The sequence below is a fragment of the Homo sapiens genome, chromosome 14 (assembly GCF_000001405.40).
Source record: "Homo sapiens chromosome 14, GRCh38.p14 Primary Assembly".
Lineage (NCBI taxonomy): Eukaryota > Metazoa > Chordata > Mammalia > Primates > Hominidae > Homo > Homo sapiens.
Genome location: NC_000014.9, coordinates 76180040 through 76201542, shown reverse-complemented (window position 1 = coordinate 76201542; position 21503 = coordinate 76180040). Strand labels below are relative to the sequence as shown.

The following is a 21503-nucleotide window of genomic DNA, read 5'->3' as shown; positions in this document are numbered from 1 at the left end:
TTTCTTCTCTACAAAAAAGTAAAGACAAGATTTAAATAAGATAGTATTTCCTAATCTGAGAAAATGGGTTCAACTGAACAAATAAATTCAGTAGCACGCATTCATAATGTAGTAAAAATCACTTATTACGTACTTATGTGTGTATTGCTTAAACAATGAATACTCATGATCTTGTTAATGCAAACCCTTACTCATAGATGCTCATAGAGATGACTCATAGTGATCTCCACTTTCTAGATCAGGGAGCTAAGGTATACAGAGATCAGATAAATTGTTCAGGGATAAAACAGAGCTGGTTAAATATCAAGATTCAAGCACACATACTGGACTCTAAACCCCACGCTCTTCCTGCCACAACCCATGCCTCCGATAGGGCAGTGTTACCAATAAATATATACCATACAACAAGGAAAATGGTAGAAAAAGAGCACAATCAGGCCCAATATTTTTCAATAAGATCACTAAAGACATTCTGGACAGGAGACATGGCTTGTGCAGGGCTGTCTTGTATACTTCAGAACACTTACCGATCTGGATCCTATCTGCTGAATGCCAGGAACACTCCCCAGTCATTGTGACAAACAAACATTTACTTCACATTTCCAAATGCCCCTGAGTGGAGTGGCACAAACCACCATCATCTCTACCCACTCTGCTGAGAACAAATATATACTAAAATATGGCAAAATCTAGGGAAGTTTGGATTTTACCGTCACCCAATAATTCCAGTCCCAGAAACGTAACCTAAAACAGTAATTTTCAAATTGTGGATCACAAAATCAATTTAGTGGGTCATGGCCATTACTTTTTTTACTCAATGAAAAAAATAGAAAGTATCGGCATGTACCCAAGATTTATTTCAGATTTACATGTACAACCAACGCACATATTCAAACATGAATTTCTTATTGTGGGCTAATGTAAAAATATCTTGAAAGCTGTTACTCTATATACAAGAGTTTCTTGAGGGCAACAGCTTTCAAACATTTTGGAACGTCACCACAGCAGCAGGAAATACATTTGACAACTCAAATCTCTCTCTTTTTCTCTCTCATACACACACACTCACAACAAACTCAGGCACATATACTCACTCATATTTAACTGGTAATAAATTTCAAAAAACTGTACCTACATGGTCACCAAACTGCAGTGAAAAAAGCACTACCCTAGAAAAACTTTTTTGCTATTTTTTATTATAGTAAAATATACATAAAATTTGCTATCTTATCCATTTTTAACTGTACAGTTCAGTCGCATTAAGTACATTCACACTGTTGTATAACTGTCACCACTATTTATCACCAGGACTTTTTCATCATCTCAAATGGAAACTCTGTACCCATTAAACAATAACTCCCCCCATTTCCCTCTTCCCCTAGCCCCTGGCAACCACTATGTTCCTTTCTGTTTGTATGAAGTTGACTATTCTAGTAGCTTATAAAAGTGGAATCACACAATATTTCTCCTTTTGTGTCTAACTTATTTGACTTAGCAAATGTCTTCATCCAATTTGTAGCACATGGCAGAGTTTCATTCTGAATAAGAAAGGCTTTCAAGCTACATAATATTCCATTGTATATATACGGCAAATTGTGTTCATCCATTCATCCAGCAATGGACATGTGATTTGTTTCCACCTTGACGACTGTGAATAATGCTGCTGTAAACAAAGGTATGCAAAAATCTATTTTGAGTCTCTGCTTTTCATTCTTTTGGGTATATGCACAGAAACAGAACTGCTGGATCATATGGTAGTTTTGTGTTTAACTTTTTGAGGAACTGTTTTTTTACATGCTGTTTTCCACAGCAATGCATGATTTTACCTTCCCACAAGCACTACACAAGGGTTCCAATTTCTCCACATCTGCACCAACACCTGATGTTCTCTGTTTTTTGATATAGCCATCCTAATGAGCAGGAAGTGGCCTAAAAGAATGTTTGCACTTGTTCTCTCAGAGAACAGTGCAGTATTTTCCATAATAGCATAAAACAGGAATACAATCCAAATGTTCATCAAGAACATTTAATTATAACATATTAATCATATTCATACAATAGAATACCACATACATGGCAGTTGAAACATAGATTTTGGCAGGACAAAGCATAATTGAATCTCAAAAACAGAACCCGGTGAAAGCTGCAACATAAAATATGACATACTTTGATTTCATATACACAAGGTTCAAAAACACAAAACTGGACAATGTATTGCTTGAAGATACATATGTCTGCTAAAACTACTTGAAAAAAACAAAAGAATGACAAACGATAAAAAACAATCAGAATAACTTTTACCTCTGAGGAGAGCAGGGAGAAGATTTTTAAAGATTTTAACTTTTTAAAACTTTTAAACCTTTTATAAAAGAAAATTTTAACTTTTTCTTAAAGTGAATGGTAGGTACGTGGATATTTGCTGTATTTTATTTACTCCTTACATATCTGCTATAAATGTTCTTTTATACCCCTTCAATATTTACTAAGAAACATGTTTAATTTTAAAAAACATTTAAACTTTAAAAAGACACAGTGGGCAATAAGAATTTGCCCTATGACTCCTGAGAAAAGGGACATCCTAAAATGGAACTACTGAATCCAACCATGTGGTTACAATATATTAGGAATCACTCTGTTTCAACTTTAAGATTCTATTAATTTATTCTTACAACAAATAACCAGTGGGTTTATTCTATGGGCTAGGTATTCATTTAGATGCTAGGGGTACAGTAGTGAACAAAACAGATAAGCAGTCCTGCTCTTGTGAATGCATCTGACAATACATTTGACAATTCAAATCTCTCTCTCTCGCTCTCATATCACTGACCTAGTATTTGAAACCTGATGTAACTAATTAACAGATTAACTATTAGGTACCCTTCTGAATGATACTCTAAGCACACATATCCTATCCCAGAAAGAGAAAGGTCAGAAAAAGTTTTTGGGATAGCTAAAATATACTCACACAAATAGCTGGGTTCTCAACAGAATTTCTGATCACCTCAATTCCGCTTTATCAAAAGGCATGTGTTTACTTTTTAAAGGATTGGAATCTGCACACCAATGGCTCTGATCTACCATTCTGATGAAGAAAATCATTTCAAGAAAACGAAGCCTGGTTTTCATCTGGGTTTATTATGTTTTTTACAGCTACTTGGTCTCAAATTTTGGAGAAGATAATCTTTTTTTTCTTTTCTGACTACTTTCTTTAAGAGCATATTCAGCTAGTTCACTTCAGCATGAGGGAGACACTTGCAGGGAAATCCCTGTTCTGGTGTATCAAGTCTGAGAAGCAGGTTAGCATGCTTGCTCACTAAGATCCAGGGTGTGGTTCTGTGCACTAGACACCTGCATGCTAGAAAGCCGTAAAGGAGGGAGAATGAAGATACAAAGAAAATAAAGGTGCTACACTTTCAAGATGGGTCTATTTAACAACCTATGGTCATTTACAGTCTTTTTCCTTGGCCTTTTGTTACTATTAGTACAAAAAGGCAAGGAAGACATGCTGTTTCTTCCTGCTCTTCACCTCTCTAGCCTTATTAATATCTTTAAATTCAGTCAATTGCAACTCAAAACTTTCTACCACTGGGGGAGGGGAAAAAGGGAAAAGATTTGTGGCTGCATGTTTAAGAAAGAAGCTGAATTCATCACAGTGACAGGGGAGAGTGTTGGCAGAGATCTGAGCTATTTATTCTTTTAGGAAAATCCTATAAAGAATGACACAAGGAAGCCTCTATCTGCAGTCTTGTTCATCACACTGGTGAAGAGTCCGATAACAGATGTATGCCGTAGCGTGATTTAGTGCTAGGAGCTGGCCCCTGATGTGTATTAATACAGCGGCAAAGCGGAACCCACCTCTCTTCATCACTCATTCCTATAAAAGAGGTGGAATCCGAGATGGCCCGATGTTAGGCAGAGCAAGCCCATTTGTTCTACTGACTGATGGCTCAGACTCAGGCTATGTCCTTCACCTCCATGGGGCACTCAGGTTGTGGGCAGAAAAAAAGAAAATGCTCAGTGAAGCAGGGCTTAGTCAACAAGTGAGGAAAGGAGCTGGGCTCAGGAGGGGAAATGCTTAATGCTCAAGTCTTGTTTAATACCCACCCCCACACACGTACACTTCCCAACCTGAAAATGGAACAAGGATTTTAAACTCTTTCCAGTGGTTCCTCTCTTATAAACAATTAAAAGCTAAAAATAAAAGCTAGATATTAAGGAGAAAAAAAGAACAAAAAGATGAAAGAGGGGTGGTTTTCTTTTAATGCTTCCAATACCATAGACTGAATGAGGATCTGAGTTTTGATGCACAGTCATAGTCTAGACTTGATCTTGTTTTATATAAAAAGAAGAACATCTGCAGGACAGCTCTAGAGTCACAAGGAAACCGGTCTGATCTTGGCTCTGCAATTTATCAACCATGTGGCCTCAGGGAAGTGATTTAAGCCTTGGTTTTCTCATGTGTAAATTGGGAATAAAAACAGCATCTACCTTATAAGGCTGTTGCAAAGATTAGGTGAAATAATGTTTACAAAGTGTTCAGCTCAGGGCCTGGCCATGTGGAAAGCACTGAAAAAAAAGTACTATAATCATCAGACCTGTAATGAAGATTGTCCAGTATGAACCACCATAAAGCAGACTTTCCAAACAGAAGCACAAAGAGGACAATTTCACAGTTCACCAAAACTTACTAAGTTAAGGTAGAGGATAGGGCTCCCTCCCCATCTGTGTGAGGTTTACTCTCTATTCAGCTATCAACTGTTCTGATTTATATAATAGGTAGTATTTTCTAAAGAAAATAAAATATTCAATGGTATATTCAATATCCAGTTTTCTCACTGAAATATTAATAAATACATAACTCTCCCCTTTTTTTCATTGAAGGATAACATACACACAGTGAAGGACATCAACCCTAAGTGCACAGCTCCAGATTCTACCTATGTAAGCAGCCACACACCCCCACCAAGTTCATCATATGGAGCATTGCCAACAGCCCAGAGGGTTTCTTTGTGCCCTCTCTTGGTCACTGCCCCCCACCAAAGAGAAGCACTATTTTGGCTTCTACCAATTAGTGTTAGTTTTGTTAAAAAAAAAAAAAAAAAAAACTGAAAAGTTTTAGCCTAAAAAATTGTTTTTAATTAGGAATGTCATGACCAGTAAAATATTAGCATTCTACTTATAAAAGCAGTAAGAATGTACTGTACTGTATGCAAAATAAGAAAGTAAATAACCCTGTGTGACTGCCTGACTGAACTGCCACTTCACCTGGACTTTCATTAACATGGACCTAATTTCCTGTCTGCTAAAACAAAAGCTCAGATGACTGGAGATTGCTGATAGTGGAATATAGGGTTTCAAACTCTAGATAGCCATGTAACAGTGAAAAAGCACAGACTTCAGAGTCAGCAAGAACTAGGCTAATTATTTCTTGTAGTCTCAGTTTTCCCATGTAAAGTGGGAATAAAATGACCTACACTATCACAAACATTACATGAAAAGGTATACAAAACACATAATTTAGTGCCTGGCACACGGTACATGCTCAATAAATGATAACTGCATGTAATCACCTGCACTGGGGCTAGACAAAGATGCTGTGGCCACTGGTTTCCGCTTCCTCTTGATGTCACGTGAACATGGTGGTCCCCAGTGTACATTTGCCTGTCTGCAGATGTAAGAAGAAGAAAAATGGTTTGAACTTTTTAATTCTTATTGTAAGACATTACATGTAGCCCAGATTAAATCCTTAACCTATTACAGACATAAACAAAATGGGCACCATCTTTTGCCATTAAGCATTGGGACAACATTATTCAGAATTAATAATAACTCACTCTTTATCCACAATACACACCCATTCTAAACTTTTTACCTGATTTCAGTGTAGCAGACATTCAAGATTAATTTCAATAAATATGTGTTGCATTACATGCTTATTTTTATACAATTATTTTTCATAAAAACTATAACCACAATTGCTCTAAACTCACTAATGAAATACTTACTCCCAAGAGGTAATACATTGAAAAGTTTAATGCTGCATGAACACAGATATTTGCATAGAATTTTAATAGGAAGTTCAACCTCCTGTCATGTAAATCTGAATTTTTAATACTGTCTACATCACAAGTTAAGTAAGTTTAGTTTCTGTGACTTTTAAAAATATTAATTATGCTTTTTATTTTACAGGTAAAAAAATAAAAATATTAATTATGTGACAATATGTTCCTTCATCTGAATACTCAGCTTATTTTAAAAGCAAACGATTCTGTGAAAGACAATGGGATTAACACTGAACTACGTGGTATGCTATTTTAGTTCACCACTGTTCCCCAAGAATGTATTGTACTGTATGCAAATTAAGAAGTAAAATAAAAATCTTTACGTATGTGAAGATTTTGTCCCTCTCAAACTAGACAGATCCTGCCTCTGATTAAAGACCAAAATGAGTCTCACCTTTACACAAAGTGTTCCTTGAACATTTGGGGCCTCATCTACCATGAAGCAATGTTTAACTGGTGTGCATATATCTTGCTTCTCTAATGAAACAAGAAGGCTTAATCTCTTTGAGATTAAGAACAGGGATCTTGAGAACAGAAACTTTATTTACACTTCTTTGATAATTTTCCAATGATCTACCAACCTTGGCTCAAGGCACACAGGCGATCCTCATTAGCTGTTGATTAAAACTGCTATGAATGAATAAAAGTTCTAAAAATCAAATGGCCACTTGAACACTTAAAAGTGATTAAAATAGTAAATTTTATATTATGTACATTTTACCACAATTTTAAAAAACTAGCCAAAGTAAATAACATATAAAATTATACCAGATAAACTCCTAATCAGTAGTCCCAGCTGAGGATTAAGACCCTTAGTAGTCTTAAAACTGGAACCTCAGACAAACCTAAGAAAACCTGGTTAGCAAGGCAACAAGGCAGCTGTTGAATGGACAAATTTTTTGACTCAGAAAGTCCCCAAAATAACTTGCACAGTTGAAAAGGGTGCATGCATGCGTGCACGCAAGCATGAGCGTGCACACACACACACACACACACTTTCATGTCTCTAAATAGCAAAAGCTTAAGAGTCAATTCAATTTATAAATAGGAAAATATAAGAATTTGACTAAAATCCTAAGAAATTCTTTAGGAATGCAAAGAATGCTACAGGCTGAGATTTATAATACAAAGCCAGTGGTTTGGAAAATTCCATCCAAAGCACCTTTTATTGATCACTCTGTCCTGTACAGAAAATTAAGTCAAATACCTCATGAATAATTAATTCTGAAAGCTCAAATAGTTAATTCTAAATAGCTAATTATCAATGTGTAAAGTAGGGAAAACGCTTCCTTTTTCATACCTTGCATAAATCCTGGGAACAAGTCTAAGCAGCATGCTGATTTAATAATAAATTAACACAGGTGACAACATCAAAGGGAGACAGGACTTCAGTCTGAACGGAGTGGTGGTAATTCCCTTTGAAGTCCAGACACAAGCAGAAAATAAAGTGACACTACAAAATTGTGTTTCTCCTCAAAACAGAGAAATGTAGAACACATAGAGCATCCATCTTTTCCACAAACATAAGACTTGAGTACATACCCAAACTGAGACTATCCAAGCACTCTGATCTTATTCAATCATCCTTATCCTCAGGCATGATTCAGAAGGAGAAACAAAGTCAAACAAAGGCTAACAGTGTATAGTCATGCTTCTTTCCTCTTTATCTGAAGCTCATTAAAGGAACCTCCAAAGCTTTTCAGAAAAAATGTTAACACCACTGATTCAAGCTAAACCATGTTACTGTTAGACATCAGGATGGTGGCACTCTACAGCAGTGGTGAGGGGGAAGACAGGCAGAGAAAGAGGCACAGGGAGCTTCTGGGGTTCTTTCTGATAACTCTCTTTTTCTTCATCTGGATGCTTGTTACTTGACTGTAACTTTGTGACTGTTTATCAAGTGTATATTTCTTTGTACTCTTCCCTGTATGTTTATCCTTCAATAAAAAGTTAATTTAAAACATTGCTTCTTCAAGATCACAGTTTACAATATGCTGAGTTTCATGAGACAGATGCAAAATGAGAAGCATAAGTACTCAAGAAGTATATTAAGATACTAATTCTTGGAGTATCAACTTGAGCTGAACTACACAAATACTGCCTTTTATTTGCCCCCATCCATCATTTTCACCATTTTGCGTGTTTGATATATGTCAGTAACATGGGAAAAGGCCCATATTATCAACTCTTTTATGGATCTAGTCAGTACTACTTATCTCACACTTTCGAGGAATGACAGTGTCATTTTGGAATTTAAAAAAAAAAACCATTTATACACTAAAATGTTAAAGTTTTTAACAACTTTTAATGGAAATGCTTATTTACTTTAGCAAACTGAGAATAAGTATTACTTACCTATTATTACGCACACAGGTTATTATACCACAACATCTTAGGGTGCTATTGTGGGTTCAATGGCTCAGGTGGTCCTTCCACCACCACCCTGCTCCTCTAGGCGATATTGTTAAGCCTTCAGGTCAATTGTCTCTACATTAAGTGACCCTTGACTGCTATGCCTCCAGCATATTACTTCTCTCTGTGGTAAATGGTCTACTTCTACCACCCCATTCCTACCTCTAACTGTTGCCTTGAATATCTTAAATCCTTCAGATTTTGTAAATTCCTCTGGTTATAACAGGAAAGAACTGAAGACTTTCTAAGGAAATCAAGTAAAGAAACTTGTTAAGTGAATTATTTTATTGTAAAAGTATATACTTTTGTGGACTATTTCCTTTCTACTAAGCAGTTTTGTTGCTTCTTTCATTGTTCACTAAATTTTTACTGAGCACCTACTCTTGCCAAGCACTGTACTAAACACTAGGGATATAGTGATAAACAAGAGACAATCTCTGCCTTGATGGATCTTATAGCCAAGTCCTATCTGCAGCTGCACAGCTTTTCAGGTTACAGAATATGAATAACAAAGAAACTAGGGTATCAATGAAGAGAAGGTATGTTCGTTTTTAAAACTCAGTTTAAATGATCCTTCCCTCTTAAAACATTTCTCTTAAGACCCATTTCAAGGTTGGAGAGCTATTTCATAGGAGGTAGAATAACATCATATCTTCGCTGTCAGTATATGAGGACATTTTTCTCTATGTCCCTTCCTAGACAAGATTTGGGGAGGGAAGAAGAGAAATGATCAAACTGTTATAACAGGACAGTAAGACATTTTGCTTCTTCCTTGGTTTTAAGTGAACATTAGTACTGCTAGAGTTTACAGCTTGGGAAAATCTATTTTTCTATGTGAAGTCCCCATCTGCTTGGAAAGAACCCTAGAGGACAAAGAAGGAAGAGGACCCAGAACAAGCCTGCTACACAATGGAATACTATTCAGGCGTTTAAAAAAAAAAAAAAAAAAGAGTAAGTCCTGTCATTCACAGCAACATGGATGGAACTAGAGGACATTAGGTTAAGTGAAAACAAGCCAGGAACAGAAAGTTAAACACATTGAGTTCTCACTCATAAGTGGAAGCTTAAAAAAGTTGATCTCATAGAAGTAAAAAGTAGAACAGAGGATACTTCAGGCTGGGGTAGGGGAAGGAAGGGATAGAGAAGGATTTGTTAAAAGATATAAACTTATAGCTAGATAGGAGGAATAAATTCTAGCATTCTATAGTACTGTAAGGTGACTATAGTTAACAATTGTATATTACACAGTTTCAAATAGCTAGAAGGAAGATATTGAATGCTTCTAACAAAAAGAAATGATAAATGTTTGAGCAGATGGATATGCTAATGACCCTGATTTGATCACTATTGTATGTATTGAAATGCCACTGTGTACCCCATAAATATGTATAGTCATTATGTGTCAGTTTTTTAAAATAAAATAAAATTTTAAAAAGAAGAGGAAGAAAAAGAGAACAAGCCTGGGGAAAAGAAGGAAGTTGGGTGCTTAGAGCAAGAGGATTTAGAGGCAGGAAATGGAAGCTGTCATGTGGCACGGCACATTCAGAATATTAGCACAGCCCTGCTCAGAAGTGAAGAATATTACATGTGGGGTTGGCAGGGCTGCCTGTATTATTTTGGGGAACCTTACCATGTGGGTAAGGCAACTGCTACAGCTTCGGCTTCCTATTGACAAGACAGTTCCAGTTTTTTGTTCATCCCCAAATTCCAGATCATCAATTGCAGACATAAAAAATTAAAGAAGGGAAGGAAAAATAAGGAGGTTGACCACTTCCCCAACCCCATTTTCATTTAGGGGTACTTAACAACCACTTGACTCCTTTTCTTTTTAATGTGTTATTTATTTAATGTGTGTTATTTTACTTTGAAAGCATCACTGTTTACTCTCAAAATGGAAACTAAAAGAGGGACAAAAGCACAAATGCAGTAACAACAAGGATAGAGAGTCTGAACTTCCCTTTCTCACCAACACAGAGACCCTCCCTACAAGTAGAAAGGTTGAAAGAGTAACGAGATATTTCAGAACTCTTTTTCAAGTGTAGTATATGGTTGTTCTTGGGTTGCAAACCATGTAATACGTTAAGGGAAGTGATCTTTCAATTAGGCACATTGTATAAAAGGCTAAGTATAAGTTAAAGTCTCCACCAAGTTAAAACTTCATTCTCAACTGGAGTGGCAAATGGTTATCCGAATTATATAAGGAGCTTTTACTAAATACACATGTCCCTATCAAGATCCTAATTCAGTAGGCTGGGGAGGAGTGGGAGCAGAATCAGTAACATATTTATTTTGAAATTTTTCCCTGGGTAATTCTGATAAGCACCTACCTACTTCGAAAATTACTGAGTTGAAAAATCTACCAAATTCCCAGAGCCAACCTAGTCAATAATAGAGATCTAAGTATTCAACCTAAAGAATAATAGAATGATTAAATGAATATAAATTTAGATAAAAATACTGTTCCCCAGTATATATGCAATTAGAGAAAAGACAGGCTATGCCTGTTCTGTTTCATCTGATCAGGGCCTCAGGGACAATCTTCACTCAGGCCAGCGAAACCTGGGGTATACGCTTCTTTCATAGTGTAAGTGTGGGATCAGTACTTCCCCTAAGAGTGTCATAGTTTCCCCACTGTGGTGGTATTTGCCAGGGCAGAGTTGGAAGAATGAGCACTAAAAGCAAAAAATTTTTATTTTTAAATAAGAATTTAAAAAAAATTCTTATCTCAGAAAAAGTCATTAAATTGTTATTACAAGTGTGAAGGTGAATGCTGAAATTAACAATTAATGGAAAGAGGATTCTTTCTATCCAAGCATAAACACAACATTTCTATTTTCTTTTTTACTGCAGGTAACTGAAAGATCAGGTGAGTTGTTAAAACTGCAGTGTTACTTAGGAAACCGGGCAGATCACTATGTCCTTGGGGCAGGAATGTACTTTTAGGGAAAAAAAAATACTTTGAGAAATACATGCATGTTTAATAGAACCAATGTTGGCAAAAAATAACTGAAGTGACTGCGTTAGATTTGGAACAAAGATCTTTAGAGTCACTCCTAAGGAGAGAAAACAGTCTGTCTGCGAATGGCAAGCTAGTTTAAGGAATAGTTCACCTTCAAAAATCACTCATTTTTAAAGTTAATGAAAAGTTCATCTTTTTATATAGAATAAAAATCCTCAAAAAACTGGGTATAGAAGGAACATACCTCAACACAATAAAAGCCATATATGACAGGCCCACAGCTAGTATCATACTGAATGGGGAAAAACTGAAAGGCCTCTCTTCTAAGATATGGAACATGATAAGGATGCCCACCTTCACCACTGTTACTCAATTTAGGACTGGAAGTCCTAGCTAGAGTAATCAGACAAGAGAAAGAAATAAAGGGCATCCAAACCGAAAAGGAAGACATCAAAGTATCCTTGTTTGTAGATGATATGAACTTATATTTGGAAAAACCTAAAGACTACCACAAAACTGTCAGTAGTGATAAACAAGTTCAGTAAAGTTGCAAGATAAAAAATCAACACAAAAAATTCAGTAGCATTTCTATATGCCAAGAGTGAACAATCTGAAAAACAAATTTAAAAATTAACCCCATTTATAGTGGCCACAAATAAAATTAAATACCTAGGAATTAACTTACAGAAATAAAAGATCTCTATAATGAAAAATATAAAACATGGATGAAAGAAATTGAAGAAGACACCAAAAAAACTGAGAGATATTCCATGTTCATGGATTGAAAGAATCAATATTGTTAAAATGTCCATACTAGCCAAACCAATCTACAGATTCAATGCAATCCCTATCAAAATACCAGTGACATTCTTCACAGAGATAGGAAAAAGAATCCAAAAATTTATATGCAGCCACAAGAGACCCAGAACAGCCAAAGCTATCCTAAACAAAAAGAACAAAACTGAAGGAACCACACTACCTGGCTTCAAATTATACTACAGAGCTATAGTAACTGAAATAGCATTGTACTGGCATAAAAACAGACACATAGACCAATGGAACAGAATAGAGAACCCAGAAACAAATCCACACATGCAGAGTGACCTCATTTTCAGCAAAGGTGCCAAGAACATATACTGGGGAAAAGACAGTCTCTTCAATAAATGGTGCAGGGAAAACTGGATATCCATATGCAGAAGAATGAAACTAGACCCCTATCTCTCACCATATACAAAAATCAAATCAAGTAGATTAAAGACTTAAATCTGAAATCTCAAACTATGAAACTACTATAAGAAAACATTGGGAAAAATCTCCAGGACATTCGTCTGGGCAAAAATTTTTTGAGTAATACCCCACAATCACAACAACCAAGGCAAAAATGGACAAATGGGATCACATTGAGTTAAAAACCTTCTGCACAGCAAAGGAAACAATCAACAAAGTGAATAAACAACCCGCAGAATGGGAGAAAATATCTGCAAACTACCCATTTGACAAAGGGTTAATAATTAGAATATATAAGGAGCTCAAACAACCCTGTAGAAAAAAAATCTAATAATCCAATCAAAAAAGATTTGAACAGATATTTCTCAAAAGACATACAAGTGGCAAACAGGCATATGAAAAGATGCTCAATATCACTGATCATCAGAAAAATGCAAATCAAAACTACAATGAGACATCATCTGACCCCAGTTAAAATGGCTTACATCCAAAATACAACTAATAATGCTGGTGAGGATGTGGTGAAAAGGTAATCTTCGTACACTGTTGGTGGGAATGTAAATTAGTACAACCACTATGCAGAATAGTTTGGAGGTTCCTCAAAAAAACTAAAAATAGAGCTACCATATGATCCAGCAATCTCACTATTGGGTAAATACCCAAAAGAAAGGAAATCAGTATATCAAAGAGATATCTGCACCCCCAGGTTTGCTGCAGCCCTGTTCACAATAGCCAAAATTCGGAAGCAACCTAAGTGTTCATCAACTGATGATGGATAAAGAAAATGTGGTGCATATACACAATGCAGTACTATTCAGCCATAAAAAAGAATGAGATCCTGTTATTTGCAACAACATGGATGGAAATGGAGATAATTATATTAAGTAAGATAGACCAGGCACAGAAAGACAAAAATCACATGTTCTCACTTATTTGTGGGATCTAAAAATCAAAACAATTGAACTAATGGAGATAAAGAGTAGAAGGAGGGTTACCAGAGGCTGGGAAGGGTAATGAGGGTGGTGGGGAATGTGGATGGTTAATATGTATAAAAAAATTGAAAGAATGAATAAGATCTACTATTTGATAGCACAACAGGGTGGCTACAGTCAATAATAATCTAACTGTACATTTTTAAATAAAAGTAAAATTGGTTTGTTTGTAACACAAAGAATAAATGCTTGAGGGGATGGATACCCCATTCTCCATGATGTGATTATTACGCATTACATGCCTATATCAAACCATCTCATGTACCCCATAAGTATATACACCTACTACAAACCCACAAAAATTAAAAATTAGAAAGTTAATAAAATTCAATGTAAAAATGGTATTTGTTTTCTATACTTTTTCTTTAACACAAGTAACACCAGGAAAAAATTTGATATTTCTAGGGACCAAAGTTCATATATATATTCCAATTATTCTGCTTAATTACTAATCTATTCACCTCAATTATTTTTAACAAAAATGTATGGAGGCCTACCCAATGTAACATACTATGCTGGATGTGCAGAGGGAGATAAAAGATGACTGAGCTGAGGTCCTGTCCCCAGGAGCTCACAACACAGTAGGAAGGCCAATTCCTAAAGAAAGAATTAATACTCCGAGACACTGAGTTGTAATCAGAGAACAAGTAAGTGCTAGGGTAAAAGGAGAAAAAGGAGGATTAAATCTAGAGATTTAATCCCTAGATTAAATGTGAGACTCCTTTCTCACATGTGATTTTACCTTTAAGGTTTACTGACATTTATTAAGCAGTCAGGAGGGGAAATATTTTCATAGACTTGCACCTGGGAAAAGATCTAGGCCTATGGCACTAGGAGCAGATAGGAAGAAAAGAAAAAAAAAAAACACTTCACAATTATCATAGGAAACAGAGGAGGCTTATCTAACAGGAAGCGATCCTAGCAATTCCACTAATGATTTTCACTTAAATCTAACCCTCAGTAGTCTGTGACAAACTGCTCACTGGCACCTGAAAATTCTCCCTAATCTAATTCCCTTAGCTGGGCTAAAGTAGGCATATCTATGAAGCTGTTTCATGCCGCCCATAAGAGCCAAATCATTTCACATCAGTTGGAAAGATGGGTATCTTACAATGGAAAAACAGAGAGAGAGAAAATGCTTTCATCATTCCACTTAGGCAGTAAGATGCCAGCCAGCTGAGAGCCACTGTCAACGAGACCCTCCAATAGAGGACAAAAGATTCAAGAACTGTGTACTATACAATGGGCAATTCCAATAGGCTTGGGCAGCCTTATAGACAATACTATAGCAGAAACTGCTTCACACATGTGGCTGAAACTGAGGCATTAAAGAGGTGAGAAAGCAACACTGTGCTTCACAGCATCAACAGATACAGGACTAATAAAAGGTTCCTTCCCCCAAGCCCTGAGGTAAAACCTCAGGCTGTTTATTATGGCTCCAAAGGTCAAAATTAATAGCATGAAGTGAGTCTTCTTCTTACTCTTTGAAACTCCTTGTCAAGTGGCACAGCCAGCTGGGCACACAACTCTGATATGCAGATCATAACGTTTGTGAACAGATAAAATGAATTACAAATGAGCTCAGCCTATCCTATTTCAACTCTCTAATGGGCAGGAAGGTCTCTCTCTCTTTTTTTTTAACCCCAACTCTGTCCAAATGCCTCCTCTTATAGACCATTTGAGGTCATTTAAGCACCTCAAGAATCAGTATTACATCTAATTAGCAAATGACTCTGGAAGCCAACTCAAAGTTTTTAAAATTGCAATTATCCTAAGGATGGGGTAGGGCAGTAACTACATAACAAAAATAATATTGGTTACCAGGATGCTCAATATTTACATATATTATTTCATTTTGGTCCCCATTCAACCAATTTAAAAAGTATTGATATTTCCATTTTAAAGATGTAGAAATTGAGGTATGGGAAGATTAAGTCATTTGCCTGGGTAAAGCCCGGATTCTCGCCCAGGTCTGCCTGACACTAATATCTACACTCTTAATCTCCTACCACCTATGCCAATGGACTATGAAGAAAGTAGAAGCTATGAAACTTTTCATCCATTCATTAAGAAACACGTATAACATTTGCATACCAGGCTGATATCTGCCATCCTTACCACAACTAAAAATAAGATTTCTCAAAGAAAAAACAGTTTATTTACAAAGGAAGCTGACCTATATGAAAAGAAGATATCAGTGCTTTGCTATTTCAGAGCTTAAAGAAAGAATAAATTAAAATGGTAATGCTTGACCAAATTATCTTCCAAAATAAAGGAAAGGTCACTAAAAGTTGACCTTTCCTTTGAGTTGGAGAAAACTAAAACACTGCCATGAAAAGTTTTTGCACTCAAAAACTGCAACTGGTGATTGATGAATCACATAGATGCAACTGACCTGTATGTAGCAATTGATAAATCCTAGCTATCATTTTCTTTGGTAATAATAGTAAGAAAAACTATCCTTCACAATCAACAAATCTCTCATTTTGGGAAAAACTGCTTGCAGCACTAGTCTTCTTATTACAAGTTTGTGACTGTGCCCTTAACAATACCACTGCCTCTACCAGAACGCCAATCACACCATCTGCTGTTTGGGCAGCAGCAATTCTTAACACCAATACCAGGTATCACACCTTTAACAGCAAATCCCAATACTAGCAACCAAAACAACCAAACCAAAACACTTGGTTTATGGATTTCATCTACACACCCAGCCAACAATCCAACTATCCATATATCCACCTGACAAAACTCTGCCCCTGATCCATTTATTAAGAACTATGTGCTGGGCACCGTGCAGATACTAACACTCTTCTCTACCTGCAGTAGGTTCTCCAAAGCTAAGAGAAGTCCAGAGGTCTACCTCCCGTAAGGAATGGTGCATACCATACCAAAGTACAGAGTTTGCACCAATTATGAAAGGGGAGACCCTATTAAGCAAATTACAAAGCACCAGTCACAAAACCATATGCATTTAGGACAACAGTTCTTAACCCTGGCTGGCATATTAATCACCTAGGGAGCTTTAAAATAATGCCAATGTCTAGGCCTTATCCCAGACCAATTAAATCAGAATCTCTGGAAGTGGGGCCCAGCACGGATATATTTTCTTAAAGCTTCTTAGGTGATTCCAACTTGCAGCCAGGGTTGAAAACCACCAAGTTAACTATTTCCAGAGTGCTATTCCTGAAATCCACAAATCTATTAGATGGTACAAAGACCACAAAACTCTCCCTCCCATCCACTGCACCTGTCATCTGGGCTGTATTATAACGCTACATCAATAAAATGTTATTTTAATATTATGGTCCAATTATTTATTTGTTTATAGCAATGAAATATTAAACAAGAGAGGATTTTAGGTCATGCACCATCCTCCCAATGCCCCCCGCCCCCACCTATTCTGAGAACCAGAAGGGCATATGGTTCTAGCAGGGAGGAAACTGTTGAAAAGCCCTTGCTCTTGCTTAGGAGAATGGAATTGGCAGTGTCCAGGCAAGAAGCAGCCTCAGCTCAGTAACCTGACAGGAGGGAACCTTCATAGTTCAGGCATGATTATCAAACTCTTTGTGCTCTTAAAGGAGAGTAATTATAGGCATGTGAAAAAAGGGAAGCACTCCCTGAGGAACTCTTCCTCACATGCTTCCCAAGAGGCAGTAGGGCCATTAAAAATTCCATGATGAAGAGGAAAAACAGCCTGGGAACAGCCAGGAGGCAATACAGCAAATTAATACACCAGCCCTCCTCGGGGAAAGCTGTGATAAAACAGGAAACACTTCTCTCTTTGCAAAATAAAATTATACCACTAATGATAACATTGTCGCCACACACACACACACACACACACACACACACACACACACACACCATGCTAATGATGCATGTGAAATTTCCAATGCTGCCCAGGTGCTTTGAAAGAAATGTTTCCCTACTACAAATAAAATGGGACAAGAAAAAGACACAATTTCCACTGGAAACAGTTTTTAGTATAGTCATTCACCTGCCTCTTCCCTGCCACTACTCCTTCACACTCCTCCTTGGTGCCAGGCTTTTGCTAAATGATCCACTCTTTGCAAAGCCTACTGCCCAGTTCTGAATCCAATCTCATCAGTCTGCCACACTGGAGCTAGACGGTTCCATCTTCACTAACCCCTTGCTGGGGAGGAACGATTACAAAGGAGTGACCAGTTGCCCTGAGAGCTCAGTATGTCATCATTCACATTTTCTAAAAATTGCATAGAAGTCACTTGCGCTGATCATTTCCCATGAAGCAGTGGTTGCCAAGCTTTATTGAGGTGCACCCTCATGAGTAAAAAATCTGAAAAAAAATTATGTATGTAGTACATATACATAAAATATAAATACGTGCTACTAGACACATATGTATAATTTAAAACAAAAAAAATTTTGCTATAATTTTTTTGCTATAAATAAATGTAAGTTTAAAAATTTTCTTTCCCTTTCCCAAAGAACCTTCATGTATGCAACCCACTTGGTATCTACTGCCCTGGGTATGACGTCTAGAAGTAAGGACAAAGACGATGCATGATTGTCCACATTCTCTTTCCTTTGCTTTCAGCAATGGTCTAAAACAATAAGCAATATTACCCTAGAGCTGAGCATACCAGAAGCATAGTAGAGACTTCCTCAGGTTTCCAAGTTCAGCCACAAACACTGCCAGGCAAAAGAGTGAAGACAGTGGTATGGATAATGAGATACACAAAGAAACAAGAAGCTGATGCCTAGTCCAGCCACAGGATAAGGCTTTTAAAGGAAACAGGAAACCTGACAAAAGTACGAATACTGATCTCAGCACAGCACAGCTCTAGGTAGCAGAGGTAAAGAGAGGAGGGAAAGTAATCCACTTTCAGCATTCTGACATGATATCATGCTACTCAAATCATTTTCCCAAACAGTATACACAGACATTATTTTATTTGGTATTAAGACAAAAAGCTAAAGGACTGTTTTCCTATGGATTAAAATCCTGTTGTCTTCTATGACAGCTTGAGCACAACCACCTCTAAAAAGATCTCCCTGAGCCTTGACATTAGGGGCCCCTCCTCTGTGCTTTTTCAAACCTTTATTGTAGTTGTCAACTTCCATACCTGACTTTCCCATGAGAATGTAAGCTCCTTGAGGGCAGTATCTAAACAAAGAGCTGGCTCATAGTAGGGTTCCAGCAAACGCTGAATGAATTAATGATGAATAAACATCATGCTACTGAAGGAAAGGCCTTACTACTAATAGTTTATATCATTCCACAATTTTCCACATTCTTTTCTTTTTTTTTTTTTTTTTTTTTGAGACAGGGTCTCACTCTGTCATCCAGGCTAGAGTGCAGTGGCATCATCACAGCTCACTACAACCTTGACCTCCTGAGCTCAAGTGATCCTCCCACCTCAGCCTCCCAAGTAGCTGAGACTACAGGTGTACATCACCAGACACAAATGATTTAAAAAAAAAAAATTTTGTAGAAACAAGGTCTCACTCTGGTTCAACATTCTTTTTTTTTTTTTTTTTTTTTCTTTTCTGAGACGGGGTCTCGCTCTGTCCCCCAGGCTGGAGTGCAGTGGCGCGATCTCAGCTCACTGCAAGCTCCGCCTCCCGGGTTCACGCCATTCTCCTGCCTCAGGCTCCTGAGCAGCTGGGACTACAGGCACCCGCCAGCACACCTGGCTAATTTTTTGTATTTTTAGTAGAGACAGGTTTTCACCGTGTTAGCCAGGATGGTCTCGATCTCCTGACCTCATGATCCGCCCACCTCGGCCTCCCAAAGTGCTGGGATTACAGGCGTGAGCCACCGCGCCCGGCAGTTCAACATTCTTAATAACACCATTTGTGATGGTCTCTCTTTTCAAAAGACATTCCATACAGAAATACCACTTCTTCAGTAGAAAGACCTGGCAGTAGGTTATGGTGCAAAATTTATTATTATAGCCCATAGTAGAAGTTCTAACTGTATCCATGAAAGTAACTTCTTTGTGCAGCCTGAACCTCAAAAGCTATGAACATAACCATTTAAGAACTTATTAGGAATAAAAAAGAGTCATCAGAACCTTGGAAAGAAATTCTTTGTGCCACCAGAAACAGTACAACTTCTAGGGTCCAGCCTATTAGCTACTCTTTTCTGCATAACAGCCCTGTAGGGGGTGCTACAATTAAAACCATATTTACTTCCCATGTCACCTAAAAGAATTTATATTTGTAAGGAGTCACTCGTTTGACTAATATATGTTAATGCCTAACAAGTCCCAGATACTGTGTTAGGTGTTATGAAGTTATCAGGGAACAAGACAACATCCCAGTACTTTGAAGCTTATATTCTAGTGGGAGAGACTGAGGGATAAAGTGAAAAAGAAAAAAATTAAAAAAGAAAAACCAAACCAACTAAAATAAACTAATAAGCAAATCCAATTCAGACTGTGATAGAGCCATAAAGGAAACAAACAGATAACGAGCAGGAAGTGCTGGAGGTGGCCCCTTAGACGGGATGGTCTGAGTGGTCCTCCTTGACGAGGTGGCACCTGAGCTGAGACAAGCAGCAGCTCAAAGACAGTTTTCCAGTCAAAGGGAAGAAGTGCAAAGTTTCAGCGGCAGGAAAGGACTGCTGCAATTTTTGAAGAACAAAACAGAACTCCCTAGTACTGCTGGATCTCTCTCCCACAGAGGGAGAAAATTATACGAAAGGAGGCTGTACATGTAGGGAGAAGTCAGATTATGCAGGGTATTGCAGGCTCATGGCAAGGAACATTAATAATGTTGTTTGAAGATGGGGCTTTTAGCAGCAGAAATAAAATGAAATATGAGCCAGAAGACTTAGGTCAAAGTTGAGACTTAATCACATACTAGCCTTGGACCACAGGAAAGATACTTCACTGCTCTGCCTCAGTTTCTACATCTGTAAAACATCTATTTACCTCAAAAGATTGTCAGGATCAAATTGGATACTGTACACAAGCATACTCTATAATTTGAGGGGTAATAGAAAGGAATATAGTATTGTCCAGAAGCAAATAACCGCTACTAAAAGACAATTACCTGGCAGAGCAGTGTGCTGGTGAACACCTTCGGTGAGAAGCATCGGCAAGAACATCCAGGGAGTAAAGGGGAGACAGGGGATTGAACTGCAGGAATGAATAAGACTATTTTAGTAAGGCTTACATGAAACGGACCTGATCCTAAAGGGTAACCTACATTTGATTACTTTTCCCCTTTGACTATCCAACTCTTGTTATACCAAACACAGGCACTGTTCAGTAAAGTCACACATATTTCATAGTTTGCCTATGAATGTACCAAACCTGATCTAGCACACCTCGGAAAAAAAAAGCTATTCCTTATTAAACAACAATTTTTCAAAAACTTCTGACATACAATAGTCACTTAAATGGCAGAAGACAGTTTTTTCCACATGATATAACAGGAACTTGTGCCTGCTGATTATCAACTATGTATCAGCCCTTGTTCCCAAGAAGATTAGCATGAAATTACCTTTTCATTTCCTTATCCTGGCAAATGTTTCCAAGAATAACCGGTTGACACATAACAGCAGCATAGTATTGTGGAAAGAGAACTAGACTAAGAATCAGAACACCTTTTAGTTCCAATCTACCACTGAGATACTGGGTGTTAAAAATTACATAACCTCTGAGCTTTACTATCCTTATCTGTTAAATGAATATATCACTATCTGTCTTACCTAATCACTCCATCACCTAGGCTGGAGTGCAGTGGTGTGATCTCAGCTCACTGCAACCTCCACCTCCCGAGTTCAAAAAATTCTCCTGCCTCAGCCTCCCAAGTAGCTGGGATTACAGGCGCCTACCACCACACCCAGCTAATTTTTTT

General features: G+C 37.3%; 1 protein-coding gene across 18 annotated transcripts in view, besides 1 other annotated feature; it reads right to left on the bottom strand.

Moving 5' to 3' along the window:
* Positions 1–21503, bottom strand: part of GPATCH2L (G-patch domain containing 2 like) — an 83634-nt gene that overhangs the window by 34013 nt on the left and 28118 nt on the right. For 7 of the 18 annotated variants that reach the window (XR_007064029.1, NR_110314.1, XM_047431559.1 and 4 more), the window contains 2 exons: positions 20694–20779; positions 5571–5665 (listed from right to left, as the gene is read on the bottom strand). Coding sequence is in view for 13 of the 18 variants with exons in the window: in XM_047431559.1 (XP_047287515.1) it covers positions 5571–5665; positions 20694–20779 (181 nt within the window). In the remaining 5 variants the exon portion in view is untranslated. Of the gene's footprint in view, positions 1–1234; positions 1664–2010; positions 3875–5113; positions 5666–20693; positions 20780–21503 lie in introns of those variants that run through there. The other 11 variants (XM_047431558.1, XM_017021431.2, NM_001322028.2 and 8 more) reach the window with 7 other exon arrangements.
* Positions 11077–11166: an enhancer, noted in NCBI's record as "active region_8766". NCBI's record gives its function as "activates an Ori minimal core promoter by ATAC-STARR-seq in GM12878 lymphoblastoid cells {active_cell/tissue: GM12878}" and the evidence as "EXISTENCE:reporter gene assay evidence [ECO:0000049][PMID:35858748]".